We start from the raw sequence: 20,494 nt of genomic DNA on the forward strand, positions 1-20,494 counted from the left end.
CACCTTCCTCCCTCTCTTATTTCTTTCTTTACCTCCTTTCCCAATCTCTTTGCTCATAAGAATCTCAGAGAAAAGTCTTAGGGAAAAGGCCTCTGCTTGACCATTGCTTCCATCTAAATTTGCCTATTCACCACTTGTTTTAAGCTTTTGTAGGGGCCTATGTGCCCAGCCCTTCCTCTCATTTTCCCTTTATAATTAGGAGGTGCTGGGTCCTCCACTGCTTCCCAGCTTTGGAACTAATTTCAGGGGAAGCAGGAGGAGGAGGACCTCCTAGAAGGGAGACATAATTCTCATTTTTCCTTGTGGTAAGCCCCACAGGTGGTTGTCAGGTGAGAAAGCTGCCGGGTCAGCACCACCCCCCACACTAAGCTGCTTATCTCTGACTCCACTGGGCTGCCGTTTTATTAGCTTTACTTCTCAAAGGCACAACCCCTGGATTGAGCTGGGAGAGAGTCGGAAACCACATCCTCTTAGCCAGGAGAGAGAAAGCTCTCCTGACGGGGGAAAGCAGGTTTCCCAATGCCTGGGTGACTCCTGCCTCAGGACTGAATTCAGCTGTGCGCAGGACGAGCTAGTGGGTGTCTCCCCTGCCTTTGATGCGGGTGTTATGACCTGCATCCCATGTGCCCCTGGGATGGGGATGAATTGAGTCAGAAGGGCTTCCACTGAGTCGCCCTTTCTCCCTTCACCGCACCCTGCAGGCGTGGCCCCACTTGAACCTGCTCTACAGTCTGGAATTTGTGGGTCTGTTTTCCTTCCTGTTCCTCTGCTTTAGACAACCGCTTCCTAAGCACCACAGGATGCCAGGCTGTTTTTCACTCCCAGCGCCCGTGCTTTGAATCCACACCCCAGAGGAGAGACTTGCTAAAGGGCTCCAGTGTTTTAAAACATGCCCATGGAAGCGTGATAATATTGATAATAACATAATGGAGAATACTCAGTAAGTCCATTAAGCGCCCACCACCGGACATGCTGCTAAGCACTTTATGTGCATCTTACGGTGAATCCTCCCAACAGCCTAAGAGATTTGGTGCTTTCAGAACTCATCTTCATTTTATAAAAACAGAGAGGTTGAGACGTTAAGTAATTTTCTCAAGATAATCTGTCGGATCGGGACCTCATAATGATTGCAGTCAAAGAAGACGGGAATTCCCAGGTTGTTCTGACACCACCTGTGGGAGCCACAGTGGGTGGGAAGGAAGGAGACTCAAACTCTGGACTGCACTGGGTGTGTCCATGTGAGTTCTGCCTCCTTTCTCCTGGGCCCTGGGAAATGTGTCAGCACGGAAATGGTTATGTCCCCAGTCCATGCCGCCATCCACCGTTTCTTCCCTGGATACCTGACATAACCTCTCCCTTGCTTCACCACGTGATCCCTCAAATGTATTTTTTAATGTAGTCTCAAAGTGTGACCAGAATGATCATTATAAAATTCATACCGGGTTGTGACTCTTCTCTGTTTGAAATGACTTCCCATTGCAGGGTCTAGCCCCTGGTCCCCGTCAGGTTCCTTCCTCCCCTTTCTCTTCCCGCTGCACTGACCTCTTAGCTCCTAGAATATGATCCTCTCTCTCCCACACGGGAGAAAGAATCTGTCACAAGTTATGCTCTCCCCACCTCTCAGATTTAGAGTGCAGCTTGATCCTCGCCTTCTAAGAAAGCCCTCCTTTCACAGGTCAAATTCCATGTCCCAAGCACTCAGTCAGCAACAGCCTGCAGTTCTCTTAACACAACTGCAGTTTTACGTTTATTTTTATTGTTATTATTTTGAGACAGAGTCTTGTTTTATTGCCCAGGTTGGAATGCAGTGGCACAATCTCAGGTCACTGCAACCTCTGCCTCCCAGGTTCAAGTGATTCTCCTGCCTCAGCCTCCCGAGTAGCTGGGACTACAGGCAGCTGCCACCATGCCTGGCTAATTTTTGTATTTTTAGTACAGACGGGGTTTCACCATGTTGGCCAGGCTGGTCTCGAACTTCTGACCTCAGGTGATCCACTCGCCTTCGCCTCCCAAAGTGCTGGGATTATAGGCGAGAGCAACCACGCCCAGCCAGTTTTACCTTTTTCCACCAACACCGGTGTGTGTGCAACTTGACATCCCAGAGCATGCACCTAGTTCCGTATCGTAAGTCACCAGCACCTGACAGATAGTAAGGGTTAATAGGCCTACTGACCAGCTTTAACAGAGCCCTCACTATCTATAACAAAATTAGTCCACAATTCTCTGGATGAATGATTAAAACCCCTCTAAAATTTGCAGGGTAGACAGTGAGCTGTAGGCATTCCTTATCTCCAGGAAAATGAACTCATTCAGTTAACCAAGATGTTACTCCAGAGTTACAAAGTACCCACTAGGACTGTGAATTTGCATAAGACTTCCTGGTTGTCCTGAGGTTGATCACAGTCAAGGGAGGAGCGACTAAGGTGCAGTGATAGTGAGACCTGCAACAAAGCAGGCTTGGCCAGAGTAAGAAGCAACACTTGACTTTTCCTGGGAAGTCAAGGAGGCTTCTCAGAAAAGTCGTCTTTAGGTCCAGCTCCAAGGAATGCTGGCTCTACAGGTGCTCAAGGAAGGAAGGTGTTCCACATGGGGTGAACAGTGGACACAAGGAGGCGCAGTGGAGCCTGGGGCTGTGACCATGGGATAATTTGCCTCTCAGGAAGGAATCATATATCCACGTCTTTCCCAGTGTCTGAGAGCTGAGGCAGTTTCAGCCTATCACCTGATAGCACATAGGTACCTGGAAAATTGGTTGTGGTGTTTATACTTCTTATCCTGATATGTAGAAAAAAAATGTACAAATTGCTGACACTTCAGTGAAGGTCAGGCTGACCATATATCCCTGGATGGTTCTAGTTAATGCCTATTTCTCTGAATTAGCCCTGTAACATGTTCCAGGTTAGACAGTAAATCATGGTGTCACCCTACTAAAAGCCCAAAGTGAAACGCAGAGCTGTTGTTTTAATTGCATTTTTAAATTTTTTTTATTTTGAGACGGAGTTTTGTTCTTGTTTCCTAGGCTGGAGTGCAATGGTGCAATCTCAGCTCACTGCAACTTCCTCCTCCTGGGTTCAAGCGATTCTCCTGCCTCAGCCTCCCGAGTAGCTGGGAGTACAGGCATGTGCTGCCAGGCCCGGCTAATTTTTTGTATTTTTAGTAGAGACGGGGTTTCCCCATGTTGGTCAGGTGGGTCCCAAACTCCCGACCCGAGGTGATCCGCATGCCTCGGCCTCCCAAAGTGCTGGGATTATGCAAATTTTATATAATATAAAGTTAACCATTTTAAAGCGTATAATTCCATGGTATTTAGTGCATTCACAAGGTTGTGCCACCACCACCTTGATCTCGTTTCAAAACATTTTCATTTCTCCAAAGGAAACCCCATACCCGTTAGGAGTGACTCTGCATTCCCCTTCTCCACAGCCCTGGAAGTTACTCATCTACTTTCTATAGATTCACTTTGCTGGGTATTTCCTATACATGGAGTCCTATAGCCTGTGACCCTTTCTCTCTGCCTTTTTTTTCACTGAGCATAATGTGTTCAAGGTTCATCCATATTGAAACATATATCAGTACTTCCATTTTTTTTAGACGGAGTCTCGCACTGTCGCCCAGGCTGGAGTGCAGTGGCGCGATCTCACTGCAAGCTCCGCCTCCGGGCTTCACGTCATTCTCCTGCCTCAGCCTCCCGAGTAGCGGGGACTACAGGCGCCCGCCACCACACCCAGCTAATTTTTTGCATTTTTTGGTAGAGACGGGATTTCACCGCGTTAGCCAGGATGGTCTCGATCTCCTGACCTTGTGATCCACCTGCCTTGGCCTCCCAAAGTGCTGGGTTTACAGGCCTGAGCCACCACACCCGGCCATATTAGTACTTCCTTTCTGTAGAAGGAAGTACTGTATTTCACTCAGTCTTATTCCTTTTTATTGTACATTACCCATATAATTGTATGTAGAGAGATCCTACTTTGTTTATTCACTCATCGGTGGCTATACATTTGGGCTGTTCCTACCTTTGGATTGTTTAGAGCTGCTCTTAGCGTTTGTGTACAAGGGTCTGTTTGGGGACCTGTTTTTATTTCTCGTGGGTGTATACCTAGGAGTGGAATTACTGGGTTATATGGCAATTCGTTAACTTATAGGGGAACTGATCACAGCTTTTTGAGTGTGTGCCATGGTAGCCTTGACCTGGCTCCCTAGTCTCAAGAGCACAGCCCAGGCAGCTCTGTACTGGGCAGAGGAGGAAGCACCCTTCCAGGGACGGCCAAAAGACCTTGTCCAAAAGTGGGGCAGCGGGGAGACCAGGAGCGTGCCCAGGTAGGATCCTCGTCCTTGAGATGCAGGGCCGTCCCTAGACAATGATGTCGGTGTGGGATCTGAACTGGAATTAAAACGTCCTTCAGGAGGACCTGGGTGGAAATTCTTCCTGCTCAGCATTATAATTTTTAAAAATCCTTCGAAAGGACAAAATAAGTACATTATCACAAGGATCTTAAAGGAAAAGCACAGACACTTCCTGCCCAATGGAGTTGTCTATTTGTACGTGCAGTGGTGGGATGTGAACATGTGCCGTGCAAGGCTACCTGAAGAATCTGTTCTCCTCTTCCCTGTGTGACGTTGAGCAGGAGACTCCATGGATAATGGGAATCATTGATTCTAATTCCTGCTCCGTCTCTGATGTGTTGGTGGGAATCTAACTTAGCCCTTCCAAATTGCAAGCAATTCTGTAAATATTACTGATCTCCTGTTAGGATATAGGTATCATGCTAGGCACCCCAGAGAATGCTAAGGCCATAGAAAGCAGTGGAATTTGGGAGAAAGCTAGAGAAACAAGAGTTCTGGTCCCATTCTAGCTCATAATGAGCTTTCTGTGTAGCTTCTCATGTGACCAGGATCTTTCCCTCTTTCGCCTCCCTTCTCCAGAGATTGTCTTTCTTTACTGGCTCAAGTGTTCACATCCTGTCCCCTTGGAGGGATAGCAATTTTTGTATAAATTACTTAAGATGCAAGGTGGAATCTGATGAAAGTTAGGAGCAAAGTACCTGGGATGTGTGGGGGGAGTAGGTTGTAAGGGAAGCATTCAGGCAGGAAAAGAATCTTATCTGACTTGACTGAGAAGGACCGATGAGGGCATCAAGATGAAATTGATTTTGAATGGAGCCAGTCACTGATATTGATAAGACTATTGATAATAGCAACTATTTCTGGAAAGGTAATGAAGGGGATGAGAAATAGGAAAAGGAAGTGTGTTAGGTGGTTCTTGCGTTGCCCTAAAGAAATACCTGAGGCTGGGTAATTTATAAAGAAAAGAGGTTTAATTGGCTAATGGTTCTGCAGGCTGTACAGGGAGCGTAGTGCCAGAATCTGCTGCTGGGGAGGCCTCAGGAAGCTTCCAATTATGGTGGAAGATAAAGGGAGAGCAGGTGCATGACATGGCGTGAGAGGGAGGGAGCAAGAGAGAGCAAGAGGGGGAGGAGCCAGGCTCTTTTAACAACCAGATAGGCCAGGTGTGGTGGCTTAGGCCTGTAATCCCAGCACTTTGGGAAGGCAAGGTGGGAGGATCGCTTGAGGCTAGGAGTTTGCGACTAGCATGAGCAACACAGCTGGACGCCATCTTCACAAAAAAAAAACAAAAAAGAAAAATTCGCCGGGCATGGTGATGTACTCTTGTGGTCTCAGCTACTTGGGAGGCTGAAGTAGGAGGATCACTTGAGTCCAGGAGGTCGAGGCTGCAGTGAGCTCTGATCGCACCACTGCATTCCAGCCTAGGCAACACAGCAAGACCCTGTCTCGACAAAGAAACAAACCCCCAAACCCTAGCTCTCTATGTGAACTCAGAGCGAGAACTCACTCATCACCAAGGGGATGGTGTTAATCCATTCATGAGGGATCCATCCCCATGATTCAACACCTGCCATCTCCAACACTGGGATCACATTTTGACTTGAGAGCTGAGATGTAAAGGGGACAAACATCTAAACCATATAGGGATGGACGGAAGGAAGGGAAGAAGAAAAAGGGACACAAGGAGATGTGGCAAGGAGGGTGTCTCAGCTATGGATAGCCCTTGTTCACCCCCTTGTCTTGCTGGAGCAAGGCTAACACACTGGAAGTTCCTGCCCAGCTCAGGGCAGAGGAGAGCCCAGGCACAGCATGTACTTCTGAATGGTCACCATCTCCCTGCTGGACCCAGAACCCAGGTGAAGTGTCCCCGTGGTGCACAGTCATCCGCCCACTCTGGCAGAAAGCTGCTGCTGGTTTAAACCATTTAACATCCCCACCATCAGTAACCACCCACCCTCATATAATTTATTTATCTATTCATTCTCCTTACCCAGATTTCCATAAACTCTTCCAACCCCTCAATGTATTCAGATGGAAATAAATGAGTTTAATTACTTAAAGTAAATTTGGAATTCAGGGGCTAACGCTCTCCATTCTGCATGTGAGCCCAGCCACAGAAGGAAGTGTAAAATATTCAAGCCTTTGAAAGATTGCAACCACTGGGCTTGGCAGACACCAGCACTTTGCCTTTTTTCCTGGATATGCTCCCACACTTGAGGGGGAAGTGATGGGCTCTTCCTTTCTTCCCAAGTTGAGCAGAGGATGTGGAGGACAGAGAAAGCCTCAGCCAGGTGTCTCAACCCCCATGCCTCTTCCCAGGGGACTCTCCACAAGGCCTTGGATGGTTTTCACATTAACCTCTTCCGCTGCTTGCTGGAGCAGCTGATAATTTTGCTGTGCACCAAATGATGCATATGAGAGATCAGAAAAATCTGTAACCAGAGAGGAAAAACGGCTGCTAATGTAGTGGTAATAGGGTAGTTTAGGCGAGACTTCCAGGGAAGAGATTTACAATTTAAATAAGAAAAATAATAAACTCTAAATTAACAAAAAGAGAGGAGAAGAAGAATGCTATGGCTGTGTGATTGGGGATGGGGATGGTGGGGACCTTGCAGGACCCTCAGAACAAGGCTGGAAGGGGCCTCACTGAGTCAGAGGGATGCCAAAGGTGGAGGTTGAATAATGAGGGCCTTCAGGATTAGCCCCAGCTCCAGCAAGGACAGGGGCACATGGGATTGGAGCAGCTCCCTGAAGGCTCACGGAGAGCAGAGGACAGATTGCGAATTCAGACCTAGATCATCTGTCTCCAGAGCCAGGCTTTTTTTTTTTTTTTTTTTTCTTTTTTTTGAGGTAGAGCCTTGCTGTGTGGCCCAGGCTCGAATGCAGTGGTGCGATCTTGGCTGACTGCAACCTCCACCTCCTGAGTTCATACATTTCTCCTGCCTTAACCTCCCAAATAGCTGGGATTACAGGCATGCGCCACCACACCTGCTAATTTTTGTGTTTTTAGTGGAGATGGGGTTTCACCATGTTGGCCAGACTGGTCTCAAACTCCTGACCTCAAGTGATGTGCCTACCTCAGCCTCCCAAAGTGCTGGGATTACAGGTGTGAGCCACCGTACCTAGCCTCCAGAGCCAGTTTTTAGGCATCATGACTTCCTGTCCTTTCCCTAATTCTTAGAGACCTTCCTGGCTTTCCTACTGACATGGTTTGTCTGTGTCTCCACACAAAATCTCATCTTGAATTGTAATTCCCATAATCTCCACGTGTCAAGGTCAGGACAATGTGGAGGTAATTGGCTCATGGGGGTAGTGTACCCCATGCTGTTCTCAGGATAGTGACTGAATCTCATGGTATCTGATGGTTTTATAAGCATCTGGTAGTTCCCCTCCTTGCACTCATCCCGTCCTGCTACCCCATGAAGAAGGTGCCTGCTTCTCCTTTGCCTTCTGCCATTATTGTAAGTTTCCTGAGGCCTCCCCAGCCATGTGGAACTGTGAGTCAATTAAACCTCTTTCCTTTATAAATTACCCAGTGTCAGGTATTTCTTCATAGCAGAGTAAGAATGGACTAATACACCTACTGCTATAATTTGGATGTTTAACCCCTCCAAACCTCATGTTAAAATTTGATTGCTAATGTTGGAGATGGGGCCTAATGAGAGGTGTTCGGGTCATGAGGGCTGATCCCTCATGAATAGATTAATGTCCTCCCTGGCAGGGGAATGCGATTGGTGGGTAAATGAATTCTCTATTCATTCCTTTGAGAGCTGGTTGTTAAAATGAGCCTGGCACCTTCTCCCTCTCTCTCTTGCCTTCTCTCTTGCCCTGTGATCTCTGTACTCACCAACTCCCCTTCATTTTCCACCATAAGTAGAAGTAGCCTGAAGCCCTCAGCAGAAACAGATGCTGGCACCATGCTTCTTGTGCAGCCTGCAGAACCATGAGCTAAATAAACTTCTTTTCATTCTAAATTACCCAGCCTATGTATTCTTTTATAGCAACACAAGTGGTCTAAGACACCTACCTTTCCAGGAATCATTCTGACCATGTGAGTCTTATCTTCATGATTTTTTGTTTCCATCTTCATGTCTCCAGATACTGTGTTCCTTCCCAAGGATGGACGTGATGCTGTGGGGCCCAGGGATTGGGGAGTAAAGTCTAACTGTATCCGCCTTTGCAGACTGGGAGCTCAGTAAAGACTAGAGCTTTTTCTAGGCAAAACCACAATACAGTGCCCTAAGTTGGTTCAGGGACCTTCCTATTCTTCCTTGGCTTTTTTAGTTAGAAATTGAGGGTCATCCTGTTATCTGATGCCTTTTAGCACAGACACCTACTGAAGCTGGTCATCCATACTTTCCCACCCTCCCTGTTTCCACACCAACCCTTGTCTCTCCTGATTATTGATCCTCAGATCCCGATGCCTCTGCAGACAAACTTCCCTTGACCTAAGTAAGGTCCCTGCACCTGAGCCCAGTCCCTACTGCCTGTATACAAATGCTTATAGCTGTACCATTCACAAGAGCCAAAAGATGGAAGCAAACCAAATGTCCATCAGCAAGTGAACAGACAAAATGCTGTCTACCCATACAGTGGGATATTATTCAGCCTTGAAAAGGAATGAAGTTCTCACCCAAGCTACAGTGTAGATGAACCTTGAAAATACCATACTTAGTAGAAAAAACTAGACCTGAAGAACACTTACTCCATGATTGCATTTATAAAAGTGTCCAGAACAGGAAAACCCATGGAAACAGAAAGTAGATTAATGGTTGAACATAAACTTGGACGTGATTCGTGGAACATGAACATGATTAGTGGTTGAACAGGAACATTACTGGAAGCAGGTAGTGGTGATGGTTGCATAACATTGTGAATGTACTAAATGCCACTGAATTGTTCACTATAAAATGATTAACATAGTGAATTTTATGTTATGTGTATTTTACCACAAATATACATATTATATATATATTATGTTATACTGAAATATAGAATTACCTAAAACTGTACATAATTGTATGTGTAAAACCAGGTTGTTTTTCTCAGTCTCTCAGGTCTCTTCCACCCTCTTTCCTGAAGAGGAGCTTTCTCTGCTCACACATCGGCATAAACCTCCAAATAACTACCTGGGCCCCTCTCAGCACTGCTACCTTGGGCAGTGTTTCACTACCACAAATCGAACTTCTAAACCTGATGGGCCAAGCTTATCTCTCCGTAGACTAAACATGCAGTGGCCTTCCTTACCTTTCCTATTGTCTATTGTCCTCTGTTTACTACAGGTGTGGTAGCAGTCAGACTACCCCTCGAGGGTTCCCTTGCTCACTTGGGTGATGTTCTGACTGTTAGCTGGGAGTTGGAGGAACAAAGGTAAGCCATTATGTAAATATCAGGCCATTCAAAGACATATTGTTATCTCTTCCAGTGAAAAGGGAAGGTAAAAGCTTGAGAATGATGCATTCCTTTTAAATCTGATACTATTTAAAATGAGATATGCGTATAATTACCCATATGACACTTTGGCAAAACCCAGGTCTATCTGAGTCTCCTGCCTGCATTCAGGAACGCTGTAGCTCTCACTGGAAATCCTATGTGTAAAATTGGTATATTGGAGAAGGGTTGGGGCTGGAACAGGGATACTGGCTGTTCTTAATCAGCTTCCTAGGGAGTCTTTGAAAATGTGGTGAAATTTGGAGTTGTTAGCTGACTGGGGGGTGCTTTTGGAATCTAGTGTAGGCAGGGCAGGAGTTAGGGATGCCAGAAGTCCTGCAGTGAGTGGTCCAGACCTCACAATCATTATCCCATGCCAATGTGACTGTAGCCCACTGACAGAAGGAGATTTGGATTCTACTACACCTCAGACTCGTAACTCGTTGTGTGACCTTGGAAAAATCACCTAAATCTCAATCTCTTCATTATTTATTTTTGCAATGCCTGGATCCGTGGTTTACAAATTGGATTCTTAGCTGAAGACTTGGGGTCTGCAAACATTTTTACCCATTGGGTGGATTCATGAGAATCGCTTTTCCTCTGAAGGGGGTCCCTACATTATTTAAGTTTGAGAAACATTAAGCTTGTTTTTAACAATAATAGAAAACAGTAGCTGAGTGATTCCTTTCCTCCTACATTCTCAGCAACCTGTTAAGTCGGGTATTTTTATTAGCTCCATTTTCTAGAGGAGGAACTGAAGTTTATACAGTTTGGGAAGGCAAGTAGGTGGTAGAGTTGGGATGTGAATGCGTGCATTCACTATAATCCACAGTCTTAGCCATCAAACCAGTGTCCCAAAATGTACTTTTCCACAAACCTCTTTATTTATTTCTGCAGTTTCAAATACCAGAATGATTTTTGACATATTTTTATACCCTAGCTCTGTGATTCATTTAATGTTTTAAATTGATTCCATTTTGACTGACATTTATTTTAATTGGAAACTATGATTATTTTTCTTAAAATCCAATGAAAGTAAAACAATGTTACTAAATTCTATGCAGATTCCTAAAAGGCTCCAAGTGTGTGACTTGCTCTGTCTTTGTTAAAAAGGAGATACAAAAATATTAGAAGTTAAATATATATGTGTGTGGCAAACAGACTTTTTGCTTGTTGAATTCCAAAATGTTGCAAGAAAATTGAATATGAAATTACTTTCTCACTCTAGGCACCAATGGCTTTTAACACTCTATGTACGAGTGATCTAAAGTCATTACCTTAGGTATTATCAAAAAGTCAAAAGGTAAGTGTTGGTAAGGGTGTGGAGAAAAGAGAACGCTTGTACACTGCTAGTGGGAATGTAAATTAGTACAGCTATGATGGAAAACAATATGGAGGTTCCCCCCAAAAGTAGAAGTAGAACTACCGTATGATCCAGCAATAGTGCTTCTGGGTATATATCCAAAGGGAATGAAATCTGTATATCGAAGAGATATCTGCAGTCTCATGTTCATTGCAGCACTATTCACAACAGTCAAAATGTGGAATCAGTGTAAGTGTCCTGCAACGGATGAATGGGTAAAAATAATGTGGTGTATATACATGATGGAATACTATTCAGCCTTGAAAAAGAAGGAATTTCTGTTATTTGTGACAAAATGGGTAAACCTGGAAGACCTTATGCTAAGTGAAATAAGCTAGGCACAGAAACACAAATATTACACGATCCCACTTGTAAATGGAATCTAAAAACATCAAAATCCTGGAAACAGAGAGTAGAATGGTGGTTACCAGAGGCTGGGGCAGGAGCTGGAGGTTGTTGGTGAGATAGAATAAAGTTTTGGTTAGACAAGAGGAATGTGTTTTAGTGATCTGTGGCAGGGCATGGTGACTATCATTAGTAATAAAGTGTATTTTGAAATAGCTGAATAAATGTATTTTATTTTTATTTATTTATTTTTTATTTTTTGAGACAGGGTATTGCTCTGTCACCCAGGCTGGAGAACAGTGGTGTGATCACAGCTCACTGTAGCCTTGATCTCCTGGGCCCAAGTGGTGTTCCTGCCTCAGCCTCCTGAGTAGCTGAGATTACCACACCTTGCTAGTGTTTTAATTGTTTGTAGAGACGGGGGTCTCACTGTGTTGCTCTGGCTGGTCTTAAAACTCCTGGCCTCAAATGATCCTCCAGCCCCTGCCTTCCCAAGTGTTGGGATTATAGGCAGGAGCCACCACACCCAGTCATGCATAGATTTTAAATGTTCTCGCCATGAAAAAAAAAAAAAAGTATGTGAGATGATGGATATGCTAATTAGCTTGATTTAATCATCCCACAATGTATGGATGTATCAAAACATCATGTTGTACCCCATAAACATATACAATTATTATTTGTCAATTTAAAATAAAATTGTTATGTTAGGTAACACTGGTGAAAGTCACTATATGTTCCTCCTGCCACCACATCCCTTCCTGCTGTCAGATTCTGGCCCTGTAACTTTACACCAGAGCCGATGCTGACCAGGTCCTAGGTGCTTTCACTCTCTGTGCTTCTGCCCAATAAAAAAAAAAAAAAAAAAAATTCCTGAAATGCGTTCTTGGCTGCCTCAATCCTGGTATTGTGGGCCACCATTTTGGTTCCACAGTTGTCTGACCAGTTCTTTCCCACCCTGGCTTTGGAAGGTTAGAAATCTTTTGTTTTTCCTACTTTTCAATTACAAAAGCCTGTTTGAACAGCCTCTGTGACAGCCCATGTTCAAATAAGCTTTTGTAATTGAAAACAGAGCTCGCAATGTGGCTGCAGGGATGCTCGCCTCAAAAGGAGGGGTTGCAGATCCAGCTGTGAGCTGGTCCCTAAGGCCACTTTCAAAGTGTTTAAAGCTTCTTTCCAATTTAAAAAAAAAAAAAAAAAAGGAAAGAAAATCCTATTTAAACACACAGTCCAGACCGACTGGCTTGGGTGATTGAAAATGAAAATTTTGACAGAGACATTGCTTTGGATCCAGGGGCAGTAGTCTTGGGAAGCGGACAGGGAAGGGGCATTACCTCCTGGTGGGCCTTCTCACCCCTCCCCCAGCACCTCTGTGCCACTTTCTAAGGGGTCTCTGAGGTTGAATGCACAGGTCTCAGCAAGTTCAAGTTCTTACTTAGGCTCACCTTCAAGTTCAGTCTTAAGCCTCTCTCTCTCTCTCTCTCTCTTTCTCTGCCCACCACCCCCAAGCATTATAAATGTAATGTCTGAGAATCATGGTTCTGGAAAGAGAATTGGGTTCAAATTCTAGCTATGTGACGTTGAGCAATCATCAAACTCCTCTGGGACTCAGTTTCCTCTCCTATAAGACAGCATGACATTAGAGTGTCTTTGAAGATTAAAGGACATAATCTATTTAAATTACCTCTTACTATACTGCAAGACAAAGGTTCCATGTTCCATATGTGTAGTTATTTTTACTATTAATGCTGGTAACAATATGGATCATAATATAATAATAAAGTGAAAGACTTCATAGTGTTTAAGAATGTAGACTTTGGTGTCAGATTGGTCTGAGTGATCATCCCTGAGCATCTGTTTTTTTTATGTTAAAATGGGAATAATGATAGATTTACACACATGCATACCTAGTCACTTGCTGTGTGCCACACGCTGGGATGGGATGTGAACAGAACTCACTAAGAGCTGGCAAGGGAGTAGGCTAGAAGGTAAGTAGGTACAAACAGAGTCTTCTGAGAGTCCAGAAAAGGAGAGAATTAATTCTTAATGAGGGTGGGGAGGGTGGGAAATTGTCAAGAACAGATGTGCTTTGAGTGGGGCACAATGTGGCTGGTCAGGAAAGGAGAAAGACGGATGCACTACGAAGCAGGTGTGAGTGAGTGAAGTGAGTGAAGAAAGAAGGCGGAATGGCTTGCATTTCAGTACAGCTGGAGAATGGGGGCTGGGAGGGGGTTTGCGTTTGTGAAAGTTGAATGGAAGGATGGGAGACAGGGTGCCTCCAGGGGCATCTGTGTTAATGTTGGGATTATAAGTGACAGAAACTCAACACCAAATAGCTTAAAAGAAAGAAGAATGGATGGATGGATGGATGGATGGATGGATGGATGGATGGATGCTTGGATGTATAGATGGGTAGGTGGGAGGGTGAGTAGGTGAGTGGGTGGGAGGGTGGGTGGTTGGTTGGATGGATGGATGGATGGGAGGTGGGAAGGTTGGTAGCTGGATGGATGGGAGGGTGGATGGATGGATGCATGGATGGATGCATGGTTGGGTAGGTGGGAGGGTGGATGGATGGATGGATGCATGGATGGAAGCATGGTTGGGTGGGTGGGAGGGTGTGTATGTGGGTGGGTGGGAGGGTGGATGGATGCATGGTTGGGTAGGTGGGAGGGTGGGTATGTGGGCGGGTGGGAGGGTGGATGTATGCCTGGATGGATGCATGGTTGGGTACATGGGAGGGTGGGTAGGTGGACGGGTGGCAGGGTGGATGGATGCATGGCTGGATGCATGGTTGGGTAGGTGGGAGGGTGGGTAGGTGGGCACATGGGTAAGTGGGAGGGTGGGTGGATGCATGGTTGGGTAGGTGGGAGGGTGAGTAGGTGGGCAGGTGGGAGGGTGGATGGATGCATGGATGGATGCATGGTTGGGTGGGTGGGAGGGCGGGTATGTTGGTGGGTGGGAGGGTGGATGGTTGCATGGATGGATGGATGGATTCACCGATGGATGCATGGATGGATGTATGGCTGGGTAGGTGGGAGGGTGGATGGATGCATGGATGGGTGCATGGTTGGGTAGGTGGGAGGATGGGTAGGTGGGTGGGTGGGAGGGTGGATGGATGGATGCATGGATGGATGCATGGATGGGTAGGTGGGAGGGTGGTTGAATGGATGGATAGATGAGAAGTAAACTTATTTGTCCAAGAGTAGTCTAACTTCAGGCTCAGTAGGACCAAAAAGCTTAGATGTTGTCATTAGTACCCACCTCTTGCTCTCTGCACGTAGGGCTATTCTTTTGTATTGGCTTCATTATTAGGCTCCACCTGGTTACCCCTTGAGCTCCAACCACATCAATCATCCTATTGCTCATGGCCTCAGTGAGAAAAAGAAAAAAGTGCCTTTCTGGTAGATTCCACCTGTGTTCCTATTGACCACCATGGGTCATTTAACTATTCTCATACTTAACACTGTGAGATCAAGGTGCGGGGAAAGGGGACTGAATTAACAAAATAACATCACTTGGCCATATCTGGAGGTGGAGATGGGTCCTTTGTCTGAACCACAGAGACTTAAAGTGGGAGAAAAGTTTGACAGGAGAGGAAGATCAGGCAGGTGTTAACAGAGAAGGAGAGTGGTTTCCAGGCTGAAAAAGCAACAGATGCCCACCGTAGCCCTGCATGCTCAACCACATTCTGACTTAATGTGTAGGCAGATAGGTAAGTCTTTGAGCAGCTGGGTCTGAAAAGACGTTACAGACCTGAGATCATATGGTCCTGGTGAGAGCTTCCAGGATCAAACAGGTCAGGCTGAAGGAGACTCAAGTTTTGTGGGTCCTGAATCTTACAGTTTGGAGCCCTTCTTTGTGTAGGCAGAATCCTGAAATGGCCCCTGAGATTCCCTACCCGTCTCATGCATATACCCTGAATATTGTTTGGAACTTGAATATGATGCATTTTACTGCTGTGATTAGATTGTTATGTGGCATAGGTCTTGCTCTGTCTCCCAGGCTGGAGTACAGTGGCACAGTCCTAACTCACTGCAGCCTTGACCTCCTGGGCTCGAGCATTCCACCCACTTCAGCCTCCCAAGTAGCTGGGACAACAAGCATGCACCATCACTCCTAGCTAATTTTTTTTTGTACACTTGGGCCTCTCCCTATGTTTCCCAGGCTGGTTTCGGACTCTTGGACTCAAGCAGTCCTCCCGCCTTGGCTTCCCAAAGTGTTGCGGATTGCAGGAATGAGCCACTGTGCCTGGCCTTGTATGGCATAGTTGGTCCTAAGAGAGGAAGAATGATTTGGCTGGGATTGACTTAATCACACCAGTCCATTAAAAGCCGAGAATTTTCTGCTGTTGGTCAAAAAAGAGGAAGTTAGAGATCAGTGAGAAGGTTTTGATGCACCGTAGCTGGTTTAAAGATGGAAGGGCCGTGCCCTAAGGAATACAGAAGGTCTGTGGGACTGAGGGCTGCCCTTGTCTGACAGCTGCCAGAAAACAGAGCCTCAGTCCTGAAACGTCAAGGAACTGCATTTTTCCAACAACGGGAATGAATATTGAGGCAGATTTTTCTCCAGCACCTCCAGATGAAAATTCAGCAAGGTCGACAGTTTGATGTCAGGCTTGTAGGACTCTAAGCAGACAGAGACCCCAGCCATGCCATGCTAGACATCTGCCCTTACAGAACTGTGAGCGAATGAGTGAGTGTTGTTTTGAGCTCCTAAGGTTGTCGTGATTTGTTCTGCAGCAATAGAAAACAAACACACTCTTTAAGTAAAAGGAACAAAATTATGATTATAACATTAGATATATAAAATTAGGTCAGTTTCATCAATGTCATGGAAAATCCACCACTGGGGTCAGGAGGCTCTGGTCTTGTTTACGTGCATTTCCCATCTCTCCCAATTCTCTATAAACGTGGGATGCTGAAGAATTCACATACTCATTTCCCACGTGACCTCGGGTGCTTGGTTCTCCCTGCTCTTTGGCCCCAGTGCCTCACACCCGCCACTCCCTGCTCCCATATGGTTGTGGCATTGCCAAGCCATTTGGTCCATTTCCCTTCCTGGCAAAGAAAAAAAAGGTAAAGCTCTCAAAATTATTAGGTAATGATATCACTTTAAAAAGCGACACAATATTTTAACAGCATGACGCCACTTAGCTGTGGTTTAATAAAATGTAGAAAGCCCAGAGCCGAGGAAGCTGCAGCAGCCTTAGGTGGGGGCAGACAAACAGCTCTGGAAACTCACATCAGGAAAATTACTTCTTCTTCAAATGGAAACTTTTCAATTGCTTTCAAATAGCTGGAGCTGATAGAAATAATTTCCTTAGCACGTTTGCATACGCTGCCTGTGTCTTCTCCGCATGGCGCCAGGAGCTTCATTAATAAAGATTGTTGCGAGGTTCCGATGTTGCCAGGCTCTTGTTATTTAGAAAAAGCACCAAACCAAGTCAAGGGGAGTCAATTGATTACTAAATGCAATTCCTGTTTGGTGTCCCTGAGGCAAACTGAGGGCAGTGGGGGAGTGTTCGTGTGTTCTTATGCACGCATGTACCAGGGATCCTGCCAGAGTGGCTCCGACATGTCAGCCTGATCCTTGGCCCGTTTTGAGGGATCTCTTTAGGATCACAGGGACCGTCAGGGTTGAATCTCCTTGTTTTCCTGATGTGAAAAACGGATGCTCCTGCAGGGAAAAGTGACTTAGGAACAATCACACAGAAAAACAGAAATTGCCATTTAGGGAGGCCAAGCTATTGTCTTGGGTCTAGCAGACCTTATTATGTTTTCATAATGGATAGGGAGTTAGGCTTTGATTGTTCTCTTTCTGGGCCTTTCTTTCCAAAGCCCTGAAATACTATGTAGAGTTTGGGGTAGAAGATTAATGAGCTCAGTGTTTTTAATAATGAAGTTTGGGAGGGCTGGTGGCCACAAGGTGTTTTTTTTTGTTTTTTTTTTAACTTATATTTTAGGCTTGTGGGTACGTGTGCAGGTTTGTTATATAGGTAAACTCGAGTGATGGGGGTTTGTTGTACAGATTATTTCATCACTCAGGTAGTAAGCCTAGTACCCAATAATTATTTTTTCTGTTCCTCTCCCTCCTCCCACCCTCCACCCTCAAGTAGGCGCCTGTGTCTGTTGTTCCCTTCTTTGTGTTCATGAGTTCTCATCATTTAGCTTATAAGTGAGAACATGTGACATTTGGGGTTTCTGCTCCTGCATTAGTTCACTAAGGATAATGGCCTCCAGCCCCATCCATGTTCCTGCCACAAGGTGGTTTTATGTGGACACGGCATGGCATCATCCTCAGGAGCTCAGTATAAGGAACATGCTGCTGTTTCGTTGGCCTTCCATTTTTCAAATCCTGTAGGGAGAAAGGCCCAGATTGGTGCAAACACAGCTTTAATGCCTCTCCAAAGCTCCCCAGCTTCCCTTTACTACAAAGAGGCACAGAGCCTTGGAAAGACAGTGGTACCCAGCTCATTGTGTTTATTATATCTATTGTGCTTATTTTATGGTTATTCTTTATGGCAGCTGGTGTGGATTTTGCATTTATGTAAAGCTTCCTTTCTAAATCTATTACTTTCTTTTAAAAACTGAGTCCACTTAAAGAAATACATAAAGTATGAGGTGAATTACAAGACATCAGAGTGAAGCCAAGATATCCTGGCCTAGTCCACGACTCACGTTGCAGATCAGGAGACTGAGGCCTGCAGTATGGACAGATCCCGCCAAGTGTTTTAAAAGAGAAGAGGATATTGAATGTTCCCAACACAAAGAAATGATAAATATTTGAGATGATGGATATGCTGATTACTCTGATGTGATTACTACACGTTATATTTATGGAAATATCAGGATGTGCCCCATAAATATGTATAATTATTACGTGTCATTTAATTAATTAATTAATGTGGGGGACTGACCCACAGACCAAGGCTGCACGATGGATGAATAACATACTCAGACACTGATATTCAGTGAAAGAGCAGGGCAGGGGACCGGGCCACTCACAGAAAGAGTTGTGGCAGCTGCACACAGACTGGCTGGCCCTGTGGGCATTTATTCAGCACAGATTTAATGACAAAGGCTTTGAGTCAACACACCTGTGGGTAATTAATCTGGTTGGCCTCCCCCAGAGAGATCAGTCCTGCATCTGCAGAATATCGAAGGGTCAATCTTTGGGCCACATGATTAAACAAGTGTCTACACCCTCAGCTTTTAAGAGAATTCAGCTGCCTTCAGCCAACTCTTTTACTGAAGCTTTGCAAACCTCCTGGCCTTCCAAGAAGGCTTGTGTCTATTTCCTATAACTTTATCTTTATAATTTTTCCCACTACCCTGACCAATCCCCTACAATCTAAAAAATGGAAAATTTGAGCTATAGTGAGGTTAACAGATCAGGAAGTATCTGCCATTGAAAAGATTGTTACTCATGTTCCCAAGAGTAGGGGGCAGGCCATGCCACATGGGGCCACATGGGGACACACGAGGATCCATCCTGCGTGTGGCAGAGGGTGGAAGGAGGACCATGGCCAGGAGCCTGTATTGTGGTTTCTGTGTAAGGATCAGGTAGGCAGCATAAGGAGATTTAGGAATGGCTGGTTTGAATAATGGCAGAGAGGTCTGGGGCATAGGAGCTGTTCCTAATTGGTACCTGGCCCTGGGGTGATTAGGGCCGGTGGACAGTGGCCTGGAGTGTGAGAGCAGGAAAGAAGAGGTAGTTGGGGGATCTGGGTTCTGGACTGGTTGGCTTGTATTTGAAATGCATACTTACACAGGACTTGTTTCTAGTCTCTAGGAATTAGCTGACCCTAGGAAGGGCGGTCCCTCCAGAGTCAGCAAGGTCTCAGATGTTAAAGCAACAGAATATAAGAAATAAATGACATGGATCAAAGACCAAGAGCCTGGTCTACTTAGCGGCAGGGCCAGGTTTCAAATTCAAGTCTCCACATCCAATGGCTAGTTTATCTCTTGTGCTGCCTACTTTGGGTGGTCATGGTTCTAAATGCCCCATTGGATATCCTGGTTGTTGGCTGAATTCACAGAGGTATAATGGCTACAGAAGTACAAGCAAAACTCTACCTCAACCAGCCTCCCCTGGAGGCCCTCAGGGCCTTCGTTCTGTAAACCTGCAAGCTCCACTGTATTCCATTTTGAAGCTTACTCCATTCCTTCAACTGATCTGAACCCATTTTTTTTTTATGTCAAGAGTGGAAATATATGGTAAAAATTATATGATGGTAGCATCTGGCATCATAAACCTTCCTAGGGAGGAATGGTGGTGGTGGTTGTTGTTTTGAGACAGAGTTTCACTCTGTCACCCAGGCTGGAGTGCCGTGGCGTGATCTTGGCTCACTGCAACTTCTGTCTCCCAGGTTCAAGCGATTCTCGTGCCTCAGCATCCTGAGTAGCTGGGATTACAGGCATGTGCCAACGTGCCTGGCTAATTTTTGTATTTTTAGTAGAGATGGGGTTTCACCACGTTCACCAGACTGGTCTCAAATGCCTGACCTCAAGTGATCCACCTACCTTAGCCTCCCACAGTGCTGGGATTACAAGTATGAGCCACTGCACCTGGCCATTAGGGAGGAATTTTGTTTGGAAAAATAGTAAGGCAGGACAGTGAGACTGGAAGGAGTCCTGTGTGAGCCAAGTTAATGAAAGAGAATGACCAAGTTCCTCTGCCCATGTCAAGGAGACTGATGTGTTTTGCTCTAGACCAGGGCAGAGAGAGAGGAAGGCACAGAAAGAGGTGGAGACACAGGTCAGATTGATGGTGGATGATGAACATTTTAAGAACAAGGATGTACCTTTCAACTTGTAATTGTGTGCTCATTCTCCACCCAACTTCCTACCTCACCTAAATCATTGTACTGTGTATAAATGGGGATTTTGTTGGAAATGGAGAAAAGAGCTGAGTTTCATACAAGGGTCAATTGTTTCTGCAGCAGAGACAGCACATGCCAAGACAAGAGCGGCAAAGCAGAGGTGATCCCCAGAAAGCCAGCCATCTGGGTAT

The 20,494-nt window shown here is 45.4% G+C and overlaps 1 protein-coding gene across 4 annotated transcripts in view, besides 1 other annotated feature; it reads left to right on the plus strand.

The window, feature by feature from the left end:
* RBFOX1 (RNA binding fox-1 homolog 1) overlaps positions 1-20,494 on the plus strand; it is a 2,473,620-nt gene that overhangs the window by 676,648 nt on the left and 1,776,478 nt on the right. The window lies entirely within an intron of this gene.
* Positions 9,350-9,995: an enhancer, noted in NCBI's record as "OCT4-NANOG-H3K27ac-H3K4me1 hESC enhancer chr16:5975719-5976364 (GRCh37/hg19 assembly coordinates)". NCBI's record gives its function as "activates a minimal SCP1, AML or CMV promoter by ChIP-STARR-seq in naive and primed H9 embryonic stem cells {active_cell/tissue: H9 hESC(naive and primed)}" and the evidence as "EXISTENCE:reporter gene assay evidence [ECO:0000049][PMID:30033119]".

Source organism: Homo sapiens, chromosome 16 (genome assembly GCF_000001405.40).
Source record: "Homo sapiens chromosome 16, GRCh38.p14 Primary Assembly".
Taxonomy (NCBI): Eukaryota; Metazoa; Chordata; class Mammalia; order Primates; family Hominidae; genus Homo; species Homo sapiens.